This window comes from Homo sapiens, chromosome 16, assembly GCF_000001405.40.
Source record: "Homo sapiens chromosome 16, GRCh38.p14 Primary Assembly".
Classification (NCBI taxonomy): Eukaryota; Metazoa; Chordata; class Mammalia; order Primates; family Hominidae; genus Homo; species Homo sapiens.
In genome coordinates, this window is record NC_000016.10 from 64,726,104 (window position 1) to 64,748,001 (window position 21,898).

A 21,898-nucleotide genomic window follows, 5' to 3' on the forward strand; every position below is an offset into this window, starting at 1 on the left:
ATCAGCCCTAGACCTTAGCTTCCTCCTTATGCTCCCTTGCTGCTATTTATGTAAGAGTCTATGAGCTGCAGTGCTTGAAATTACAGCCCTGAAAATTTGGGCTAGATCTTGTTGTTCTCTGTAATGTTGCTTCCAATCTCCTGCCCCTGACCAGCTCCATGGAGCTATACCAAGGCTCCCACTTAAGTTTACCTCCAGCCCCACCAACGTCTTAAAGTACTCTATCATTCACTCTCAGACAGGGAACTAAAAGTAGCTGCTGGCTTCAACCGTTTGCTTGATAAGGAAAAACAAAATTGAGAGAGAGAACAGAAATGATGACAGTTCCCCCTTCCATCCAGGTCTATACCAAAGACCTTCTCCAAGGGTAATGCCTGATTCAATTAGGCTCACCTGATTACATCATCCAAGCTCCCGGAAGGGTCTGCACATGCTGATGTGTAGCCGGGCTCCTGCCCAGCTACTACTATCTCCTACTTGATGTCCCTCCATGCTCCAGAATCTTCTGTCAAATGTGAGAGTCCAATTCATTGTGTTTCAGGCAAGTGGCAAAAGAGGCTTTCTGACAAGAGCTTATTAGAGGCAGCTCTGGTGAGACTCTGCTGTTCAGAGAACCACAATAACTGACAGATTGGCTTTCAAGTTAGACACTTTGCACACAAATTCCAAAGCATCTGTACACTTCAGATTGTGTGTCACTCAGAGGGACTACCATGTAAAAGTCTCCATGTATCCTGATGTTTAAGGCCCAAAGTGACTGTGCCCAAAGCCATCTTAGTCTCTTTTTGTCCTTCCCTCACCTGCAGCCACATCAAATTTTCTTGCCTACCTAACCGAGGCATTGTTAACTCCACAAAAAAGTTACCATGGTTTTATTGTTTACAATTTCTGAAGTGTCCCAAAGTCTTTGCTCCCTTCATTTGTGCAGTTATCCAATACATAAAGATCAGTCTAAAATCGCATCTACTGCTAAAGATTTTCTGTAAATTTCGTATTTTTTTAAATTATTGTTATTTATTTATTTAGTGAAATGGAGTCTCGTTCTGTCGCCCATACTGGAGTGCTGTGGTGCAATCCAGACTCACTGCAACCCCCGCCTCCCAGGTTCAAACGATTCTCCTGTCTCATCCTCCTGAGTAGCTGGGATTACTGGTGCCCACCACCATGCCTGGCTAATTTTGTATTTTTAGTAGAGATGGGGTTTCACCATGTTGGCCAGGCTGGTCTGGATCTCCTGACCTCAGATGATCTGCCCACCTCAGTCTCCCAAAGTGCTGGGATGTATTTATTTATCTTTTTAATAAAACCTGTAGCCCTATATCTGTTCATTTCCTATGACATGACATATTTAAATATATATATTTAATATTTTATAATTATATAACATATAACTATATTACTCATGTTTAATATATTAATAAATATATGAAATATTATATGTGACTATATTAGATGACTGCAGAATATATTAATACATATATGAAATGCAGATTAACAAATATATAAAATAATATATTTAATATATATTTTGGTGATAATAAAAATGATGATGATGATGGTGACTATAATAATAATGGTCATTTAGGTGCTTGTTTTATTTTCAATATTAAAAGGTGAAGTTCTTGGAGGAGGAACTGAGTATATTTTAATGGTTTTTTTCTTCTTCGGCATGTAAAATGGCATATAATAGGTGCTCAACAATACTGATTGAATTGGATTGAGTAATGCATAGATAAAACTTGAAGCAATCCATGCTCTTGGTATATTTGGGTTTTGAAACTTTAGAGTTGTTTTCATTGCAAAGACTTTTCTTTAGACCTTCTCTTTATCTTTCAAAAATGATTGTATCTTTGGAAACTATCAAAGTAAGGGTAATTGAAGGCTTGCAAATGCAAAAGATATAGGCTTTACATTTTGAACAATTTCTTTACATCAATTTTCTTGTATTATTTTATGACTAAGATCTCTTATCTAAGCCCAAGCTAAGAGCGTATAAAGCGGAGATTATTCATAGGTATTCTGAATCCCATTTGGCATTCAGAATTCTGATTATTTCTATTGTATCTAGCACACTATTTCTTTCTTTAAAAAAGTAAAATAAATGTAGCAAGAAGCACTCCTAAAAAAAAAAAAGGATAGTGGATATCTAATAAAAATGATTGTGGCCATTAAGATGCTCATTGTGCTACCTCATTGGAACTTCCTTGAATTTTGATCCCTGGAAAATTAAAGTACAGGGAGGCAAGGAAAGTAGGTTATTATTTCCTGTGCACCACTGCATCTCATTTCCCCATGAAGACGGAATGAACTAGGAGCCAACCATGACATCACAGGGAAGTAGAGAAGGAAGAGTGGCTGTGGAAATAGTCATGATACGAATCACATGGTACACAATTTCAATAGCAGGAAAAAATGGTGCACCTGTAAATCTTCTCCAGCCCTCAAAGTAGAGCAGCGTTTTCATGTGTGTGTAAGTGAGTTTTGTTGTTGGTGGTGGTGTTTTCAGTCTACAGGACCTTGAAGTAAATATACTAAAAAATGCTTTCTGAGATCTCATATGCTGATGACTTAAAGTGATACATTTTTTTTTTAATTTTTGGAATAGACATTCAGAGATTTTGGGGAGGGAGGTAGATCTGCTTGTTTTGAAGCCATGGGAAAGGAATGGTTATTTTCACCTAGCCTCTCTTCTTCTACCATACTTCTCAGGGGTACCTACTGTAACTGGAGCCAAAATAGAGAAGTACCCACCAATCAGGTGCCATATTTTGTCATCTTAGTTAGAGGAAATAAATATCTAAGCAGCTCAACCAATCCAGATGTGGCATATCCAATTTGGCTTTTTCAGGCTAGATTGTGATATATGCATAACAGTGAAATAGCATACAATATTTGTATAACATTTGTTCTACTCAACTATTTGGTAATGTGACCCAGGATGCACTATGGTGTTCCTGTGTTTCTCAGTAATTTGGAAATGTGTCTATGAGATTTAGACAAACGATTCTCAACTAAGATCAATTTTCCACCCAAGAGACTTCAGAGTATGTCTGGAAATATTTCTGACTCTCACATGTTGGAGGATTCTTTGGCATCTAGTAGTTAGTGCCAGGGAGGCTGGTAAAAATATTTAAATGCATAGGACATGCCCCCACAACAAAATTATCTGATCCAAAATGTCAATAGTGCCCAGTAGGAAAACCTGTGCTACTGCCCTTCTTCCCAAGTGATGGTCTGTCTACCAGCAGCATCAGCATCACCTGGAGGCTTATTAGAAATGCACTGTCTCATCTTGCCCCCCAAACTGAATCAGAATCTTGGAGTAAGGCTTCAGTGGATTCATAAGCTCATTACAGTTTCAGAAGCAGTAGTTTGGAGTGGTTGTTATCTACTCTTACTAAATCACAAAGTTGCCTGAGTACCTCTCAAATAAAAATAAAAATTAACCACATGTTGCCATAACCTTGGAGATTATGCTTCACTCATCTGGGATGGTGATCCTAGCAGCAATAGTTTCTAAAAGCTTTTTAAGTTATCTTAATATGACACCAGGGTCTAGACCCATTGGTCTGAAGTAGCTCAGAGTGGGGTGAATGTGTTTAGAATGAACAGATGTCTTGAGGAGACTCTGGCTTATGCCTTTTGTACTGGTATATTATAGCACCACTTTTTACCCTCAAATGTGTTCTGATCTTGGAGTAAGCAACAAGTTCTTTAAAAAATGCTAATTACAAAAGATTAAGATAAGTTGAAATTTATTAAAACTAAGAACTTCTGTTTCTCAAAAGATACCATTAAAATTTTGACAAGGCACTCCATAGAATGGAAATAAGGTATTTTAATGCATATATATAACAAATAATTTGTGTACACTAAATACACAAGTATTCACAAACTCATAAAACTTATTTTAAAAGTATAAAAAGAAAATAACAAATCAAGAAGAAAAAGACAAGACGATCTATTAGGCAAAAGACCTGGACATTCATTTCATAAAAGACACTCTGCAAATGGCTAGCCAACACATGAAAAGAAAAATTCAACTTTATATTTGAGGAAATGAAAATTTATACCACAAGAAGCTATTAATAAAAATCAATTGCAGTTGCTAAATGCTAAAGACTGGTAATACCAAGTACTGGTGAGGTAAGTGAAATTCTCCTCTTGCCTCGCAAATGGTAGAACAAATTGATACAACAACTTTGAAAATATTAGGGGTAGTTTTGTTCCAAATTTCAAACATATACATGAGCATGCCCATGATCAATACTGCTACTTAGGCATACACCCAAAAGAAACACTCACTTATGTTCATCAAAATGCATGTATTAAATTTCCCATAGTAACATTAGTCATCATAGTCCAATGTTGGAAACTATCCAGATGCCCAACAGTAGACTGAATAAATAAATTAACTGGGATACATTCATGACATAAAATATTACACGGCAACAAGTGTGAATGATCTTCAATTAAGCACATGATACAGATGCATCTCTCAAACATAATACTGAATGAGAGTAGCCACATACAATAGCAGGAACAATGATTAAATTTCTGTAAAATATAAAAATCTGTAAAACTATCACATGCTACTAAAAATTTGAACAGTGGTCACCCTTGAAGAAGACCAAGCTGAAACAGAGTGTGAAGCAGAGTCTTGTTGTTCTTAACATTCTTTCTGCAGCTGGACTTTGGTATCATTAATGTGTTTGTTTGGTTACATGCATTGAATTGTATACTTAGGTGCATTCTTGAATATGTATAGTATACCTGATTTATATTTTAAGTATCCCATTTTGGATAATGACATTCATAATCACCCTATTCTGATGAAATGATCTCAAGTCAATAGTACATGGCCTAAAGAGCAATCATCCAAAGTCTACGAGGGCAGCACTCCCTCTATTAAGCCTGAAGAATTCAGAAAGAACTGTAGGACAATTTCACAATGACGCTTTTTAGTATAGCCATTCTTAACCTTGACTGCTCATTGGCATCATGTGGAGAGTCTTTAAAACTCCTGACAATTAAATCAGTAACTTTTAAAGCTCTCCAAGTGAAGCCCATGTGCGAAGGGCTGGGAACCACTATGTTCACCCCACCTCCCTGAGACTATATGGACTTGCCACGTCACACTGTTATTATGACGGTGTTTGCTGCAATTATCTGGACATTCTTAGTTTCCTTAGAACAGTCATTAACTTATTTGCTGTCTCAATAAGCATGCATTATTTACTAGGTCCTGTGTTAGGTGCTAGGTGCTAGGCTATATAAAAATAGATTGTAAACCTCAGGGAGCAAAGACCATGTCTTTTTAGTTCTATGCTATGCTATCAGTGTTAAGCACTGGTATATATAACAGTCTTGAGAGAAACTCTGAAAAACATTCAGGAAAAACAAGAATGAAGGAAGTATTTTAGATAAAAGAAACAACAACGTGAAGGTATGGAGCCATTTCTCACCATTAAAGTGAAATGACCATCTCCTAATCCCAGGCCTTTAGGAAACTCAGCAATTTCAGAAACAGAAGATGCAACTCCAATAATAATAATAAGTGTTGTTGTAAAGACAGTTGGATTTTGCTTTTCTTCTTTCTCTCATCATTTTATCATTAGTGCTCTAAACAGTGCCTATAGATGGTCAGTAAATATTTTTGAATAAATTAATAATTGAACAAGTGAAAGAAAATATTCTTTCAATAAAGAAAGGATGAATTAACGTTTATTGAATAGGAAATATACTCCATCCACATCCTAGGTACCTCATGTATTTATGCTACTTAATAGTCATGGCACAATATAAATGGTAGGCATCATTATCCTCATCTCAAAGCTTACATAAAATACAAGGCACAGAGAATGCAAGAAATGTGCAAGGTCACAAGGCTATTTGAAAGAACCCAGATTCACAGTCTGATCAGTTGCAATTTGGTGTCCCTGCTCTGGGCATCCCACTCCACAGAAAAGTGGGACCATGGTGAGCCTGGCACGTAATCCATCCAGGTCCATCTGGCCATGCTCTCCTCTGGGCCAAGTGCCTTCCCCATGTACCTACTTCCCTAACACCAAGCCTTGCTTTCCTCTTGTCATTCATATTTATAATTCAGCATCAAATTATCTTATTAACACCATGGTGATTAAGATATGATAGATAGAGGGGCCACTATGGAATCAGAGGTGTTTACAGGCCAACTAAGTGGCAATCTCCCTTTTCCCAACCCTAAAGTTTTATTTGGGTCTCCTGAGGAGGAAAAAATAAATTTTGAGAATAACCATTTGTTTTGGAAAAGTAAGCTAAGAAACTGACAGGAGAAAAATGAGCAGGAAACTGCCTGGCCTTTGCTGGATTGTCCTGCTCCCTCCCTTCACCTTCTCCATCTTCATTCTCTTCCCCTTCTTCCTCTTCTTCTTGCCCATTCCCTGAGCCCTTTCCTATCTCATTAGCATTTCTCCTCTGACCAGAATCTAGATAATATTGAAAGAACCATGGCACTCAGAAATCACTTCTGTCTGGAATGAGAAGTGATGGGCTACAGGGCTACAGAGTATTTATGGGGATTTTCAACTTTTCACTGGATAGAGATTTAAAATTCTCACTTAGAGTTGTGGATTCAATCCATTGTGAGGTTGCCTTTTGCTCTATTTTCTCCTTTTCTTAATTTCTGTATTAGTGTGGGTTTCTCAGAGAAATGGAAATAATAGGAAAGAGAGAGAGAGACAGAGACAGAGAGAGAGAGAGATTCACATACATCCATAAGCGTGCACACACACACACACACACACACGAGGGGACTTCAAAAATTCATGGAAAATGTATATTATGAAAAAACTGTGCATAAATTTCAATATTTTTGCACCTAAATAAACTCGTACTAGTTTGTTATAACATACGTGAACAAGATCTACTTTGAGGCACTCAGAAGGACAGGACAGCAGTTTGAGAAGAGCCCCTATCAAAGCGATATGTATTCTGCTAATACTGAAGCAAGAACAATCATCAAATTCATGGCGAAACTTGGCGGTGGAAGTATGGTGAAATCTTGATGCTTTACAAAATGTTTATGGGAACAATGCCCAAAATAAATTAGCAATTTCAGTTTACAAATCAATAACTCATTTTATAAAGGAATAAGATTATGTTGATGATGAAGCCTGCAATGGCAGACTATGCACATCAATTTGCAAAAAAAAAAATGGTCTTGTTTATGCCCTAATTGAAAAGAACTGATGATTAACATCAAAAACAGCAGCCAACACCATAGACATCTCAACTGATTCAGCATACATAATTCTGATGGAAAAATTAAAGTTGAGCAAACTTTCCACTTGAGTGCCCAAACTACTGTACCCACATCAGCTGCAGACAAGAGCAAAGCTTTCAATGTAAATTTTCAGTAAGTTCAATCAAGATCTTAAAGGATTTCTTGGGAGAATTTTAACAGATGAAACACCGCTTTAACAGTATCATCAGAAAGACCAAGCACAGTCAAAACAATGGCTACAGAGAGGCAGAAGTGGTTTGGTCAAGAGCAAAGGTCATGGCAACAGATTTTAGGATGCTCAAGTCATTTTGCTTGTTGACTTTCTGGAGGGCCAAAGAATGATATCATCTGCTTATGAAGAAAGTGTTTTGAAAAATTTAGCCAAATGTTTAGCAGGAAAATGACCATAAAATTCTCAACCAGGGTGTCCTGCTCCACCACAATAAAGCTCCGGCTTTGTCCTCTTATCAAACAATGGCAATTTTGCAAAAGTGTCAATGGAAAATTACTAGGCATTCATTTTACAGTCCTGATTTTTCTCCTTCTAACGTCTTTTTTTCTTAATCTTAAATTATCTGTAAAGGACACTTATTTTTCTTCAGTTAATAATATAAAAAAGATTACATTAATGTGATCAAATTCCTAGGACTCTCAGTTCTTTAGGGATGGACTACACGGCTGGTGTCATTGCTTACAAAAGTGTCTTGAACTTGATGGAGCTTAGGTTGAGAAATAAAGTTTATACTTTTTATCTTTATGTTTTAACTCCATTTCCCATGAACCTTTTTAAAGTCCTCATGTATGTCTGCATGTGTGTGTATATACATACATACATATATAGAGAGAGAGCGTGGGGGATTTAGTTATAAGGAATTGGCTCATGCATTACAGAGGCTGAGAAATCCTAAGATCTGGAATCAGCAAGTTGGAGACCCAGAAGAACCAATGGTAAAATTCTAGTCCAAGTCCAAATGCAAAGGCAGAGGAGCACTGATGTCCCAACTCAAAGACAATCAGGCAGAGAGGAAGAAGTTTTTCTTACTCAGCCTTCTTTTCTATTAGGCCTTCAACATATTAGTTAAGGCCCACTCACCCTGGGGAGGAAAATCAGCTTTGCTTAGTCTACCAACCCAAAGTTAGTCTAACCTAAAAATATCTGCAGACACATCCAAGAATAATTTATTGTTAGAAAATGTCTTTAATTTATCCTTGATTTGGTAGGTTATTTTGATTTTTTAAATTGACAAGTAATAATTGTGCATATTCATGGGGTACATAGTGATATATCAGTACATATAATATACAGTGACCGGATCAGAGTAATTAGCATATCGATCATCTCAAACATTTCTCATCTCTGTGTTGGAACCAGAAATAATTTTCAACGAAATATCTGTGCATTCGATGGCCCCGTCAAGTTGACATATAAAATTAACTATCACAATTTGCATTTTAGCAGTTTAAGCATTGTTTTCTATAATAATCTAATCTTTTTTCTGATGAGTTTGTTCAGTGACTTCAGCCATATTTTTCTGTTTTTTTTTTCCTGTAGATCTCAGAGCCCAGAGTCCCCTCTTCATGCAAGTGCGCACACACACACACACCCCCACAATTTTGGACTATCATTGAGATAGATCTGCACACCACTTTTACTCCTTTTAGCTCTGACTTATTTCAGGCCTGAAAGTAAATATAGTTCCCTTCCCTTGGTATCTGTTAGAACAGCAGTTTCCAAAGTGTGTTCAGAGCATGATAGGTTCCGTGGTAGGCAGATAATAACATTATAGGTAAATGGTTGCTAAAGAGAGGGATAAATGGGAAATAATCTGCAAAAGAGCTGCATGTCTAAATTGTTGAGAAGCACTGAATATTATGCCTTTCTCTTGAATTTTTATGATTTATTTTGATAATGCATATTACATAGTAAGGGCTCTGAAAAGTATTTGTTCATTTCTTCAATGTATATCTATTGAGTGTCTACCATGTTTAAGGCACTGTTTTTAAGCACAGGGAATAGTTATTTATGAAATATTTCTCACTCTCATGAAGCTTGCATTTTAGTTAGAGGAAACAAAATAAATGAATGAAGATAAGTAAAGCAGGCAAGGAACTAAAGCATTGAGAAGCATGCTATTTCATAAGGGCATTCGGAGAAACAATCTTTGAAAAAAGGATATTTTGAGCAAAGCCTAAATGAAGAGAGGGTGCAGGACACATGGATATATAGAAGAGCAATGCAACAGTCCTGAAAGGGGAGTATGGTTCAGACATTTCAAAATGATCACAGGCTGTGTGACTAGAGCTACCTAGGAAGAGAGGTGGGAGATGAGACCAGTGCGTTAGTAAGGGGCCAGGTCATCTATTTTAGAAGCCAGGGTGAGGACATCAGAATTAATTATGTGCAAGAGAGCAAGTGGTTGGAAGGTTCTGAAAAGGAGAGTTACATAATCTGGCTAACGTTCTAGAAGGATCGCTCAATGAGGCTTACACATTGTGAGGCCAGGCGAGAGTGTAAGCAAGTCACCAGCTAGGAAGTGACCCCAAGGGTCCAGACACCACAAGACTGGGGACTGGGATAGCTTTGTAACAAATAGAGGATGTCTGGAAAAGTGAAGAGATTATAAAAGTATGTCATTCTCCAGTCAGACATTTTTTTAATTTTATCTAATCCCGAGGCTCTTGGATTTCTTTGCTCATTGCCTTCTCTCCAATTGGCTCTCCCCTCCATTATTTTTCAGAGTTAACAGTTTAAATTTAAATTAGTGTTTTAGCTTTTTACTAGTAAATATCATGCAGTTAATCCTTATGTCTAATATATTTCTATTTCAGATTATCCTTCTGTGTGTCCTGTTTGTATGCAAGCATCCATAGGAGTGGTCACATAAATCAACCACTCATAGTTTTAAGTGGGTTTGTTTATTTCTTTTTTGTATGTGAAAATCTGTCAGTGTGTTCACTTCCCAATAGGGATTTAAGGCCTCAGGGTCAGGGACGACACTACCCTTCTGTCTTCTGTCCAGTGTAAGCCTCAGTGTGTGTTCAACTTTCAGATACCTGAATATGTTTGTCACTTCCTTTATGAAGACCTTCTTGAACACACATGAAGTCGAAGATGCTCCATTCTGGGTCCCTTCAGAAAGGCCTCAGTGTATCTCTGTTCTGGCACCAACACTCTCCATCACTATGCCATGAATGTGGGTACAAACCTCTCCTGCTGCACCATAGGCTTCTGGAAGCAGGGATTGTTCATAGCTATCATTGTGTCAGCAAAATCTCTCACCATGAATGACACCAAGCAGTTATGAACAAATGCCTGATGAGTGGCTGGAAAGTTTTCATTCTTTACTGGTTTAAGAAATATTAATTTATTGGTTTGTTTGTTTAAAATATTTGTTGGCACTTTGCAGATGCCACTTCCACTGATGTCACCACTGCCACCTTGTTCTTTAACTTTGTAGTCAACGGTGAGCACTTGGGCCATGTCTCCTTCCAGCTGTTTGCAAAGTTCCAAAGACAACAGAAAATGTTCATTTTGTGAGCACTGGAGAGAAAGGATTTGGCTATAAGTGTTCCTGTTTTCACAGAATTATTCCAGGGTTTATATGCCAGAGTGGTGACTTCACATGTCATGATGACACTGGCACAAGTCCAACTACTGGGAGAAGTCTGATGATGATAACTCCATCCTGAAGCATACAAGACCTGGCACCTTGTCCATGGCAAATACTGGACGCTACACAAATGGTTTCCAGTTTTTCATCTGCACTGCCAAAACTGTGTGGTTGGGTGGCAAGAGTGCAGTCTTTGGCAAGACAAAAGAGGGCTTGAATATCTTGGAAGCCATGGCGCACTTTGCTTTCTGGAATGGCAAAACCAGAAAGAAGACCACGATTGACAACTGTGGACAACTCCAATAAATTTAACTTATGTTTTGTTTTAACTACCAGACTAATTTTTTTATAGGCAAGAGAACATTCCTCCACTCCATTTGCTCAAAATATCCTATAATCTTTGTGTTCTTGCTGAAGTTCTTTTGGTTCCACATTTTCCTTAGTCTGCTCCACCTCTAGCAGATTGCAGAGTTAAGTTTATGATTATGAAATAAAAACTATATAACAACAAAAGTAATATTTACTGAATGCTTACTAATCCAAGGAAAATGATGCTAAATACACACACACACACACACAGATGCACGCACACTCTTACATTCTTAGATTTATATAGGAAGATATAAATTAGATATAGATATATATAAATATAGATATAGATACAAATGGCTATGGTTTGGATATGATTCGTTTGACCCCATTAAGCCTCATGTGGAAATTTGATCCCTGATATTGGAGATGGGGACTAGTATGAGGTGTTTGGATCATGAGGGTAGGTTTCTCATGGATGGGTTGGTGTCATTCTCCTAAGTGTGAGTCAGTTGTCACTCTTAGTTTTAATAACACGTTGTTGAAAAGACCCTGGCACCTCCTATGCTTTCTGTCCTGCTTCCTTCCTCTTACCATATGATGCCTGCTCCCCTTCTCCTTCCACCATTAGTAGAACTTTGAGTGCAGCCCTCCCTAGGTGCAGACACTAGCACCATGCAATTTGTACAGGCTGCAGAACCATGAGCCAAATAAAATCTCTTTTTTTATAAACTATTCAGCCTCAAGTATTCTTTTATAGCAACACAAACAAACTAAGGCACAGATACATACATACATACATATATATATACATATATATATATATATATATATATATATATATATATATGTTCATCTGTTGGAAGAGATGGTTAAGTCTATAGAGTTTTACAATGTATGATAGAAACCATTATCTGATTGATCATGACGCCATGCTTTTCATTTAATTCCTTCAAGCAAATATAGTTCTGCCAATTACCTTATTTTTTCTCATGGCTTTTTTCCCCACAGACACTGCTGTATTTAGAAGTTTCTATTTTACTTCATTAAAAACTACAAAACCAATCTATGTCATATACCAAAATATTTGAAATAACTCTATATATTTATTGAAAAATAAAGGAGGGGAATGATTGTCATGAGAGCAGAGCTCAGACATGTCTTCATCAGCCTGGGAAAGAAAATGATGGAGGAGGAGGTGTAGACTGTTCTGGCAGGAAGTGAGGACAGCAATTGCTGTAGCAACTCAGAGGCATTTCTGAAGCACACCCCAAGCATCCGAGCTCAGCAGATCCAGGGGGCTATGGCAGGCAGAAGCATGTTCCTGTGCTAGGGGGCCTCCTATTCTTTCAAAATAAAGAGACAATTTCTTTCTTGGGAGGGTGAGGAAAACAATAAATGTATGTGAAAAATAAAGTATTGCTTAAGCATAGAATGTTTTTGGAGAACAATGATTCATTCAATGGGAATTTTTTCAAAAGTGAGCAGGAGGAAAATCTAGAAGGCAAGGAATGTTGTGGGTATTCAGATAGCAAGTAGTTCAGAATAATTGGTCCTCAAGTGCTACTGAGGATGGTAATAAATAAATGGAAGGGGTGGACCAGAGTTTGGACACTGTCCAATGAGTGCAGTGGGTAGAAATTGGTGGAGCTTAAATATCTGTTTGGGCTTGGCACAAGGCTGTAATCTCAGCACTTTGGGAGGCTGAGGCAGGAGGATTCCTTGACACCAGGAGTTGGAAGCTACAGTGAGCTATGATTGGGCCACTGCACTTCAGTCTGGGTGAGGGTAAAATCTTGTCTCAAAAAAAAAAAAATCCCATTTAGTGAAATGGTTGAGTTTGATTTATCTAGGATTGTCTCCCCAGTTTTTCCTACAGATGCTGTTGACTCTGATACCAACATTTTTCTCAACCAGTGCAGAGAAAAGTATCAGAAGATAAATATATTGAAAAACAGATCAGGGCATTCATCAGAGAACACTGAGACCCATGTGATTAGAGAACATAAGATATGTCTCATAAAGATAATACACACAAAGGGCTTGATGAATCGGTACCATGATGTCTTTCAGTTGGTAGATGGGAATGAACTGAATTAAATGCTGGGAAATGTTATTTGTGCTTCCAAATTTCTTGCACTTGCTTTATCTGAAGTTCTTGTGTCATTGTGAGGAAAAAATTAATACTGATGCAAGTGACAAAAAGGGCAGCTAAAATTTGTAAGAGAGTAAATCATAATTATCTTTATCATAATTATCATCGACATTCCTGTGCTCAAACAATTAAACATATCTCACATATTTTCTCTTCAGACCTAAAAGTCAATACAACAATAGCAGTGAGCCTATGCATTTAAGGAATACATTAAATATAATAAAATGATGTGTATGCAAGTTAATATCTAACAGTGATAGCTAAGCTGCTTCTGTCTTATAAGCAATATCTTTTGTGAATGGTGTTTTCAGGTTATAGTTCTCTCTCTTTTTAAAAGAAGTCCTGTAAAGAAAATCTCTGTTTCTTTTCTGTGGCCAATAATTTTGGAGGACACTGTATGTTCTATTGTTTGTATCCACCTGAAACATTCATTAAATAATTGAGGAATGGGAAAAATGCTTATCTCCATATTAACTGACATGGTTTCTCTTTCTATAGGCTATGCATTAATCAAAAATTGACTGCTGCTTTTGGCCTTAATATCGAGAATGCCAAGAGATAGATTTACTGCTAAAGTCACAATATTAATTTTCGAGGATATTTTTTCCTTCCATTTCAATGCTATTTTTCTTTATGCCTACTATTTTATCATATGCCACTTCAAATCAGCCTTGGAAATGGATGGAATATAAATGAATATATTAGCAAGCAACAGCATAAATAAATGGGAGATGAGAGAGAGTAATATGGAAATTGTAAGATCCAAAAGGGTAATTCTTCCTGTGTAAATTATAATCAGCAAATATAACTGGTGCCTCAGAAGTAATGCATTGTCCTAAAACAATGATTTGAAAATAGAAGCAGAAATTTTTGACAACTATTAAGAGGTGAGGGAAAGGGGAATGCATCAATAATGTATGTGAAGAAACCCTAGAAATTGTTAAGATGCCATAATTTACTAATATCACTATGTCAAAAAAAATAGCTGGTAATGCTGCATTTTGACCAAGTGGGAAACAGACAATGCTCAACATGGTTAAATGCAGTGAAAATTGATGCAACCATTTTGTAAGGCAATTTAGCAATATCTGTCAACATTTCACACACGTATATTTTTGACCCAGCAACTTTTTGAATGTGCACAATACATTCACTTACCCAGCGGTACAAAGGTATTCATACAAAGATGTTTGTTAGTAATAGCAAAATTCTAAAAAATGTTTTAAGTATCCATCAATAGTGGGTCAAATAAATGATGGCATTATATATAGCAGAATTTTATGCAACCAATAAAAAGAATGAAGCAGATCTTTTTGTGTAAGGATGGGAATTTTTTAAAGTATTTAACTTAAAATGTTGGAGAATATATATTTACTTACTAATATATTTGTTTATAAAAAACCATCATTTTTAGTCAGACGTGTAGACTATGATGATAAAGAAGAAATAGGTCGATCAAATAGACACATAGATAGATTGGCTTATATACACAAGATACTCTTAATAGTCATGCTTCTAGGGAATGAAACTGGTGAAAAGATTCATAGAGTGACTTTTATTGTTTAATTCATTTCCATTCTGAAGTGTTTAATTTTTTTCCACAAATATATATAATTATTATGATAATTGTAATGAAAACTAGCTTTAGAAAAGAGCTTATGGAAAGCAAATAACTGTAAATCACCAAGGGGAACTACACTGTATAATATCTTCAGCAAAGTCCGTGATAGAGAGTGCGCATTCATTATGAAATTAACCAACATATAGATGTATATGTCTAGTATTGCTATGGCAAAATATAGGAGGAAAGTATGCTTACTGTGGTCCACATACCAGGCTTAGTATCATAAGGTAGAAAACATTTTCAAAGACTGACTCCATTTCTGTTTTTCAGAGTAAATGCCGTTTTGTCAATGAAAGAGGGATGCTTGCGATGATGTGAAGGATGTCTGAGAAGAGGTGTATTTCTGAAGGAAAGAAAGAACACAGCATACTCCTTGGATAAATCTCATTTTCTTCCTTGTTAAGCCTTTTTTTCCCATTGCATTCTCTACAAACCCCTGGCCCACTCTTTCCTCCTCTTTCTACTTCCTTCCTTTCTCACCTGTACCCCAAACTATATTTGTAAACTCTTGCAGTGTTACTTTTGCACAGGGCTTGAAATATTTAACACCTTTGTTTTTAATACATGAGAAAAATAAGATCTATAGGAAAGGAAACAACTTAACCAGTTTGAACAGGTAATTGATAGACTACAGTCCTCTCTCAAATGTTTACTAATGACACATATGCATGGAGATGGGAATGTATACATACACACACACACATACACACACACACAAACACACGTATTGACTGGTTGAAACATGACAGTTCTCCAGTACCTGGGAATTAAAGGAGGGTGCATTAGCCATCCCTACCTTTACCTCAATATCCATTTTAGGAAGGATTAGAAATTAATTTACATGATTGAACATACCAAGGGCTTTGAAAGCAGAAAAATATGAAATTCAGATTTTTCACTTCTTCATCCTGGAGGTTCAGTTTTCCCAACACTAAAATGAGGATAGTAACACCAAACATGGGAATTGTTGAAGTGATCAGTGAAATAGATGCTGTATTATAGGCCTAGCTCAGTTTATGCTCTTATCTTAAGATTCTCTCTCTGGAAACCAAACCACCCCTGGAATGGGCTCTGGTGGTCCTTACATGAACATAAGGCATGCATAACCCCTTTGATATTGTGAGTGTTTCTCTGCATATGAGCATTCTTTTCTTCAGGGAAAAGTTCCTAACTTTTATTAGATTCTCAAAGTTGTCTGTATTTCCTATTATTTTAAGAAAACTGACTTAAATAGAAGGTGTAATTGCGAATGTTAACAATAATAATTACAAACACCATAACATTACTAATATTTCACTACAAACAAATAATAATAGTATTATTATTAATATTCAATTATCTGAACATGAGCCAAAATTGGTGGATGAATCACATTTAAATCATCGGGTGCTTTGCTTTCACCAGGTAAAAAGTTCCAATTTCTTCTTATTACATTAAATCTTAAGAACCTATTTCACTCTTATCCACAAAAAGGAACTCATTTCCCCTAGAAAGGCAGGCTAATGAGGTCTGCTTAATTTATAGCTGGGTCCATTTATGTGGTGGTTTCATTAACAAAGACATCTATTTAATTCAATAGATTCCTACACGTGGTACACATAGAAGACACTACTACCCCCATTCACTCCCCATCCATTCATTACCCTAATGCTTCTGACACACACAAACAAACCTTGTTTTACAAATTGCTTAGAGATTTGATTATTGCATCATGCATTTTGTTGTAACAAGAAAGGTGATTTAAAATCATTAGTCCTAAAATTTAGTCCTGTGTGTGCTTTGAAGTCAAGGGGAACAATTTGTCAGCTGGTTGATCTTTTGCTTCTAAAGCTAGTTAACTGATCAATCTAATGTCAAAGGAACAGAGATAAATGGGAGACATTTTACTATGTAGAAAACGGTACATGAAGATAAATCCAACACTGTGCTTTATTTCATCTGCAGTTATCTTTGTAGTAATTGCTTTGGAAGACTCAAGGTGCTCTTTGCACATAGGGAGTGTTAGAAGCCTTTAAATCATCTGCATAGACTAGTAGCTTCTTGCTGCGAATCTTGCTTTGCTCCATTTTTGGGTAGAGAGGACAATAATCTCCTACTATAAATGCAAATTTGGCAAGGACCAAAGGTTGGGATTCTTGACTAGTTGTTTATTGAACAATCAATTCATACATTTCTGAAATTTCTTGACATGCTTGCAAAGTAGATCCATTCCTTATTGAATTCATTTGATTTTCACTATGACCATAATGATTAAACTAGTTCTGGAGTAAACGTTTCCTAATGAACAGATTTGGATGTACCAGCTGTTCCAGTTATCTCTGTACAAAACAACCCCCCCAACTATCTGGCTTAAAACAAAAGACATATATTTCATAATTTTGTAAATCAAAAATTGAAATTGAGTGACAACAGCAAAGGAAACTTAAAAATATTTAGCCATCAATGAACTGTAGGGTCCAATATACCTTCATTTACATGTCTGGTACCTTGGATGCAGGGAATGATTGGAAGGCTTGTCTAGTAGACTCAGCTGTGACTGCCAATCAGAGTACCTCCATTTGGCTTCTCCAACAAGAAGTATCAGATAAACTTCTTACTTGACATCTCAGGGCTCTCAGAGAGTTCTAAAAGGCCATACTGGAAGCTGCAACAGTTCTTATCAGAGTATCAGTTGCTACTAGGTCAATTTATGGACAAATCACTCAGGTCATCTCAGACTCAAGGTAAGAGAAACTAGACTCTACCTCATAGAGAAGAGAAAAACACGGTATCCATATCCTTCTTTAATCTACCACTCCAGAACATTTTGATTCTATACAAGACCCATTATCAAATCATTCTGCTGCCATCACCTCAAGGTTTTATATGTTTTAGAATGTTCAGCAAGACAGATCATGGTCAGGGTAAAAGAGCAGTAATTGGTTAAGTAGCTATTATTCTGACAAGCTACAAAAGGGACTTGCATTTTCTTAACTCTCAGAAATTTTTTGTATTTTTAGTAGAGACGGGGTTTCACCGAGAAACATCTTCTTACTGAAAGTTATGTGAACACCCATTAGAAACCAGGGAGAGAGATTTCATTTCTTCCAGAGTAGGTTCAATGCCTAGTTTTACCCTATCAGAATTTTGTCCGGGGCACTTATCCAGTGACAATTTTTTTTTCATAAGAGCTATTTTTCGTAAGACTGCCCAAAATCTTAGGAATGATCCAATTTTCCAGTAATGACTAATATATTAAGATGCATATGAAGGCTCCTCTTTCATTATGATAGTCACCCTCTCACCATTGCCTACCGAATACTGTCTCAACTCATCGAACTGCCTGACTTTTCACAACGAAGCCTTTAAAGTTTATTCAAAACTTCTCTCCTCACATTCACCCTGTCCACCAGCGAGACCACCCCTCCCATTGTCTCCAGAATAAATATGGTGTTCCCACCTCTGGGAAAGTTAACAATGACAATTATATCAATTGCTAATATTTGTTGAACACTTACATCACTTGTTTGCTCTTTAGGCTACGTTGATTGATGTGAATTGCAATGGACACTCCGATGCCGTTGGGAAGCACTTCTTGTCTGTTGTACTCAACACAAAGAACTGTCCACTCTTGATATTTTTTTTGTAAAAGCCTGTATCATGTCTTCCCAGACAAATGTTCCAGGAAAGTATGAGATTTTGTCTCGTACTACTTGTTTTCACACACAATGTCTCACACAGAGCAGGCACTCCACAAATAAATTACTAGTCCAGCAACCCTTTATTACACAACTGTTACATACTCCATGCAAACAAGGAAAGCAAGTTAGAACAAATGAAACACAACTTCAGGAATAGTTTGTTGTTCATTTGAATTTGCTGATATTTTTATGTTTGACTTTAGAGGAATTTGAATGATTTAGGTCGGAATTGCATTTCTACAGCTGGCTGGCAGGACAACTTTGAACAGTCTACAGAGCTCCTATTTTCCTCTCTCTGAAGTGAGGGTAACAACTGGTAAAAGTGTTGTATGTCTAAAATCACAAAAGTGATGTAAAGCTTTACTTTTCAAATTTTCTTGTGCTTAAAAATCATCTGGAATCTTGTAAAAAGGGCTGTGGTCTAAAAGAAAGAGCCTGAGATTCTGCATTTCAGACAAGCTCCCAGAGAAGGTAAATGATGGCCCATCGGCTACAGCTTGAGTAGCAATGCTATAAAGCACCTAATATTAATACTCACTCTGAAATGTTGTCCTCCCCTTCCTCCCTCCATCTTCCTATTTGAAAATTCCAGGAGACAGAAATGGATTTTTATTTACTCCAAACGTCCAGTCTGATGGTCTCTCAATTGTGTTCCTCGTTTAAAATAGTGCGGCTCCTGCACTTTGTTTAACTCTGCTTGACAATCAGTGATTTGTGATTCTGCTCTTTCCTGAGCATGTTTATAAAATGACGACCTTGGGATTGGAGTCTCTGCTGCCCAAATGCAGGGAGCAGACTTTCTATGGAAGAATTGTGAAAGGTCATTTTACCACTGTTTTTTTCTTTCTTCTTGTCTTTCTTTTTGTTTTTTTGCCTTGGCTTCATATGCTAATGGAATCAACATCCCCATTTGCTATTTTAATGTTTCTTAGAAAGCTTTATCTCAGAATTTCCTATGGTTTGTATGTGCATTAGTCTTCTAGGTGAATCAGAGGTTTCCTGCTATAACACCATGAGGTTTCTCAATAGACCCTCTTGGCTCCTTGTTGAGTCTTTTGAATGACTTTATTATAATAAAGTTGACTTGGAGCCAGAGGAGGCAGAGCTCCAGTGTTGGGCTTTCTGTAGAATTTTATGGGTTTTTCTCAGAAGTTTAATGCCAGTTTAATGGAGTTTTATAACTATTAATACTCTACCACTCCAGCTGCGCTAAGAAATATGTAACTAAACAATAACTTGAAATAGGTAAATTCATGATTAAGTTGCACTAAAAACTAATGCCTCTTGGCCATAGTTCATAATTTCCAAAGGCACATCATTTAGAATGATTGGTAACTTTAGCCTTGTAACTCTTTCAAGGAGAAAGGCTGTGAGCTTAAATCACTACATTAAGCTGACAGTGAGGCTCATATTTTCTGAGCTAAAGATATATTTTTATGGCCACACAGTGGACTCTGTTTATCACTCATCATAAACCATAGGAAACCATTTTTGTTTTAAATTAGGTGCTTAGGCTTTTGTCCTGTAATCTGTTTCTTTATTTCCCCTTTTCACTTTTGTTGGTCCATTTTCAACAACTCCCAATCGTCTTCCGTTTCCTGAAAACAGCTCATATTTTATATCTCAGCTTCTTTAAAGGTATTTCATCCTAGTTGAGGTCACCTTAATTTACACCTCAAATTACAGTTCCAGAGCCAACTTCTTTGCTGCTGATATTGAGTAGTAATCCTACTAAAGAGTCCAATTTTAAAATGAGGAACAGTCTTATCCTACAATGCCAGGCATAAGAAGCCCATGAATTTTGCATATATCTTTAGTACTTTAATTTATTGAATTACATTTCTCCACTTCTTTGAGCCACTTAGTCAATTACACTTCATTCTGCTGCCTCGTCTGGTTCTAGAAGCTGTCTGTTCACAAAGACCATAACTAAGTCAGTTTTTCCCAGACGAGGCAACAGCCGCAAATCATCTGAAAGTGAAATGACTGTGGAATTTGAGGTTTAATTGTTTTTAAGCCATCTTGATTATGTTTATTAAAATAGAAGGTCTTGTCAAGTTAGACCTCTCTCTATTTCTGTCTGTCTTTCTCCTCACCTCCCTCACTGACTTTTCAGCTCACTGAGGCCCATCCTTTTATTGCCTGATTTTATACAGTTGGATGAGAAACACATACTGGGCAGTGGCCACAGCCCCATCAACTGAAAGGAATATGATGGGATCAGAAGTCCTCTTAATGAAAAACTGTATCTTTAATTCCTGTGGAATTTTAAAACATGTGCAGTGCAATCTATAAATGGCCAAATAAAAAAAGAGCAAATAAACATAAGATGTTACTGTGATCTGGTATAAAGCCTATATGGCATAGCTGAGTTTCTACCCTGCCCTAACTCCACTTATCTTGAAGAAAAAGGATGCCTGTGATCAAAATTTTTCTTTGCAAACCAGACTAGCTGAATTTCTACCCTGCTCTGACTCCACTTATCTTGAAGAGAAAGGATGCCTGTGATCAAAAGTTTCCTTTGTAACCAGACCAGTTGAAACTGGTTAAAACCAAGATAGCAGACCAAACGATGTCAAAAGACTTTAGGCTTCATTACGATCTCATTTCCATGCTAAATGACACTTCCAACAGTGCCATGACAGTTGATATGTGCCATGACAGCAACCAGAATAAGCCAGAAAAGGACAAAAAGGAAGGCAGCACTCTGGTTCCAGGAAGTTCATCACCTGTATTAGTCTGTTTTCATGCTGCTGATAAAGACACACCAGAGACTGGGTAATTTATAAAGTAAAAGAGGTTTAATGAACTTACAGTTCCATGTGGCTGAGAAGGCTTCACAATCATGGTGGAGGGCGAGGGCGAAAGGCACTTCTTACATGACAGCAGCTAGATGGAGTTAAAGAGCCAAACAAAAGGGCTTTACCTTTATAAACCCATTACAGACTTAATCACTACCATGAGAACAGCATGGGGAAAACTGCTCCCATGATTCAATTATCTCCCACTGGGTCCCTCCCACAACACGTGGGAATTATGGGAGCTACAATTCAAGATGAGATTTGGGTGGGGACACAGCCAAACAATATCACCACCCATTTCTGGAAAAAGACATAGACATTCTTCCTCTCATGTTTAATGTCCAACACCTTCATCAGAAAACCCTATATTTTAACCCATTCACTCCTCACTAGTCCAGGAGGAGTCATGCTCCTGTTTCTCAGTTCCATGGTGATTGAGTAAAGCCTGCACTGC

General features: G+C 37.0%; 1 long non-coding RNA gene and 1 pseudogene across 1 annotated transcript; one reads left to right on the top strand and one right to left on the bottom strand.

The window, feature by feature from the left end:
• Positions 1-9,874: 9,874 nt before the first annotated feature.
• On the bottom strand, positions 9,875-17,609 carry LOC107984894 (uncharacterized). Its single transcript, XR_001752238.2, has 3 exons — positions 17,429-17,609; positions 15,173-15,306; positions 9,875-11,123 (listed from the first exon to the last, which is right to left on the bottom strand). It is a non-coding gene; the product is annotated as an uncharacterized LOC107984894 (long non-coding RNA).
• On the top strand, positions 10,685-11,177 carry PPIAP48 (peptidylprolyl isomerase A pseudogene 48; annotated as a pseudogene).
• Positions 17,610-21,898: the final 4,289 nt, after the last annotated feature.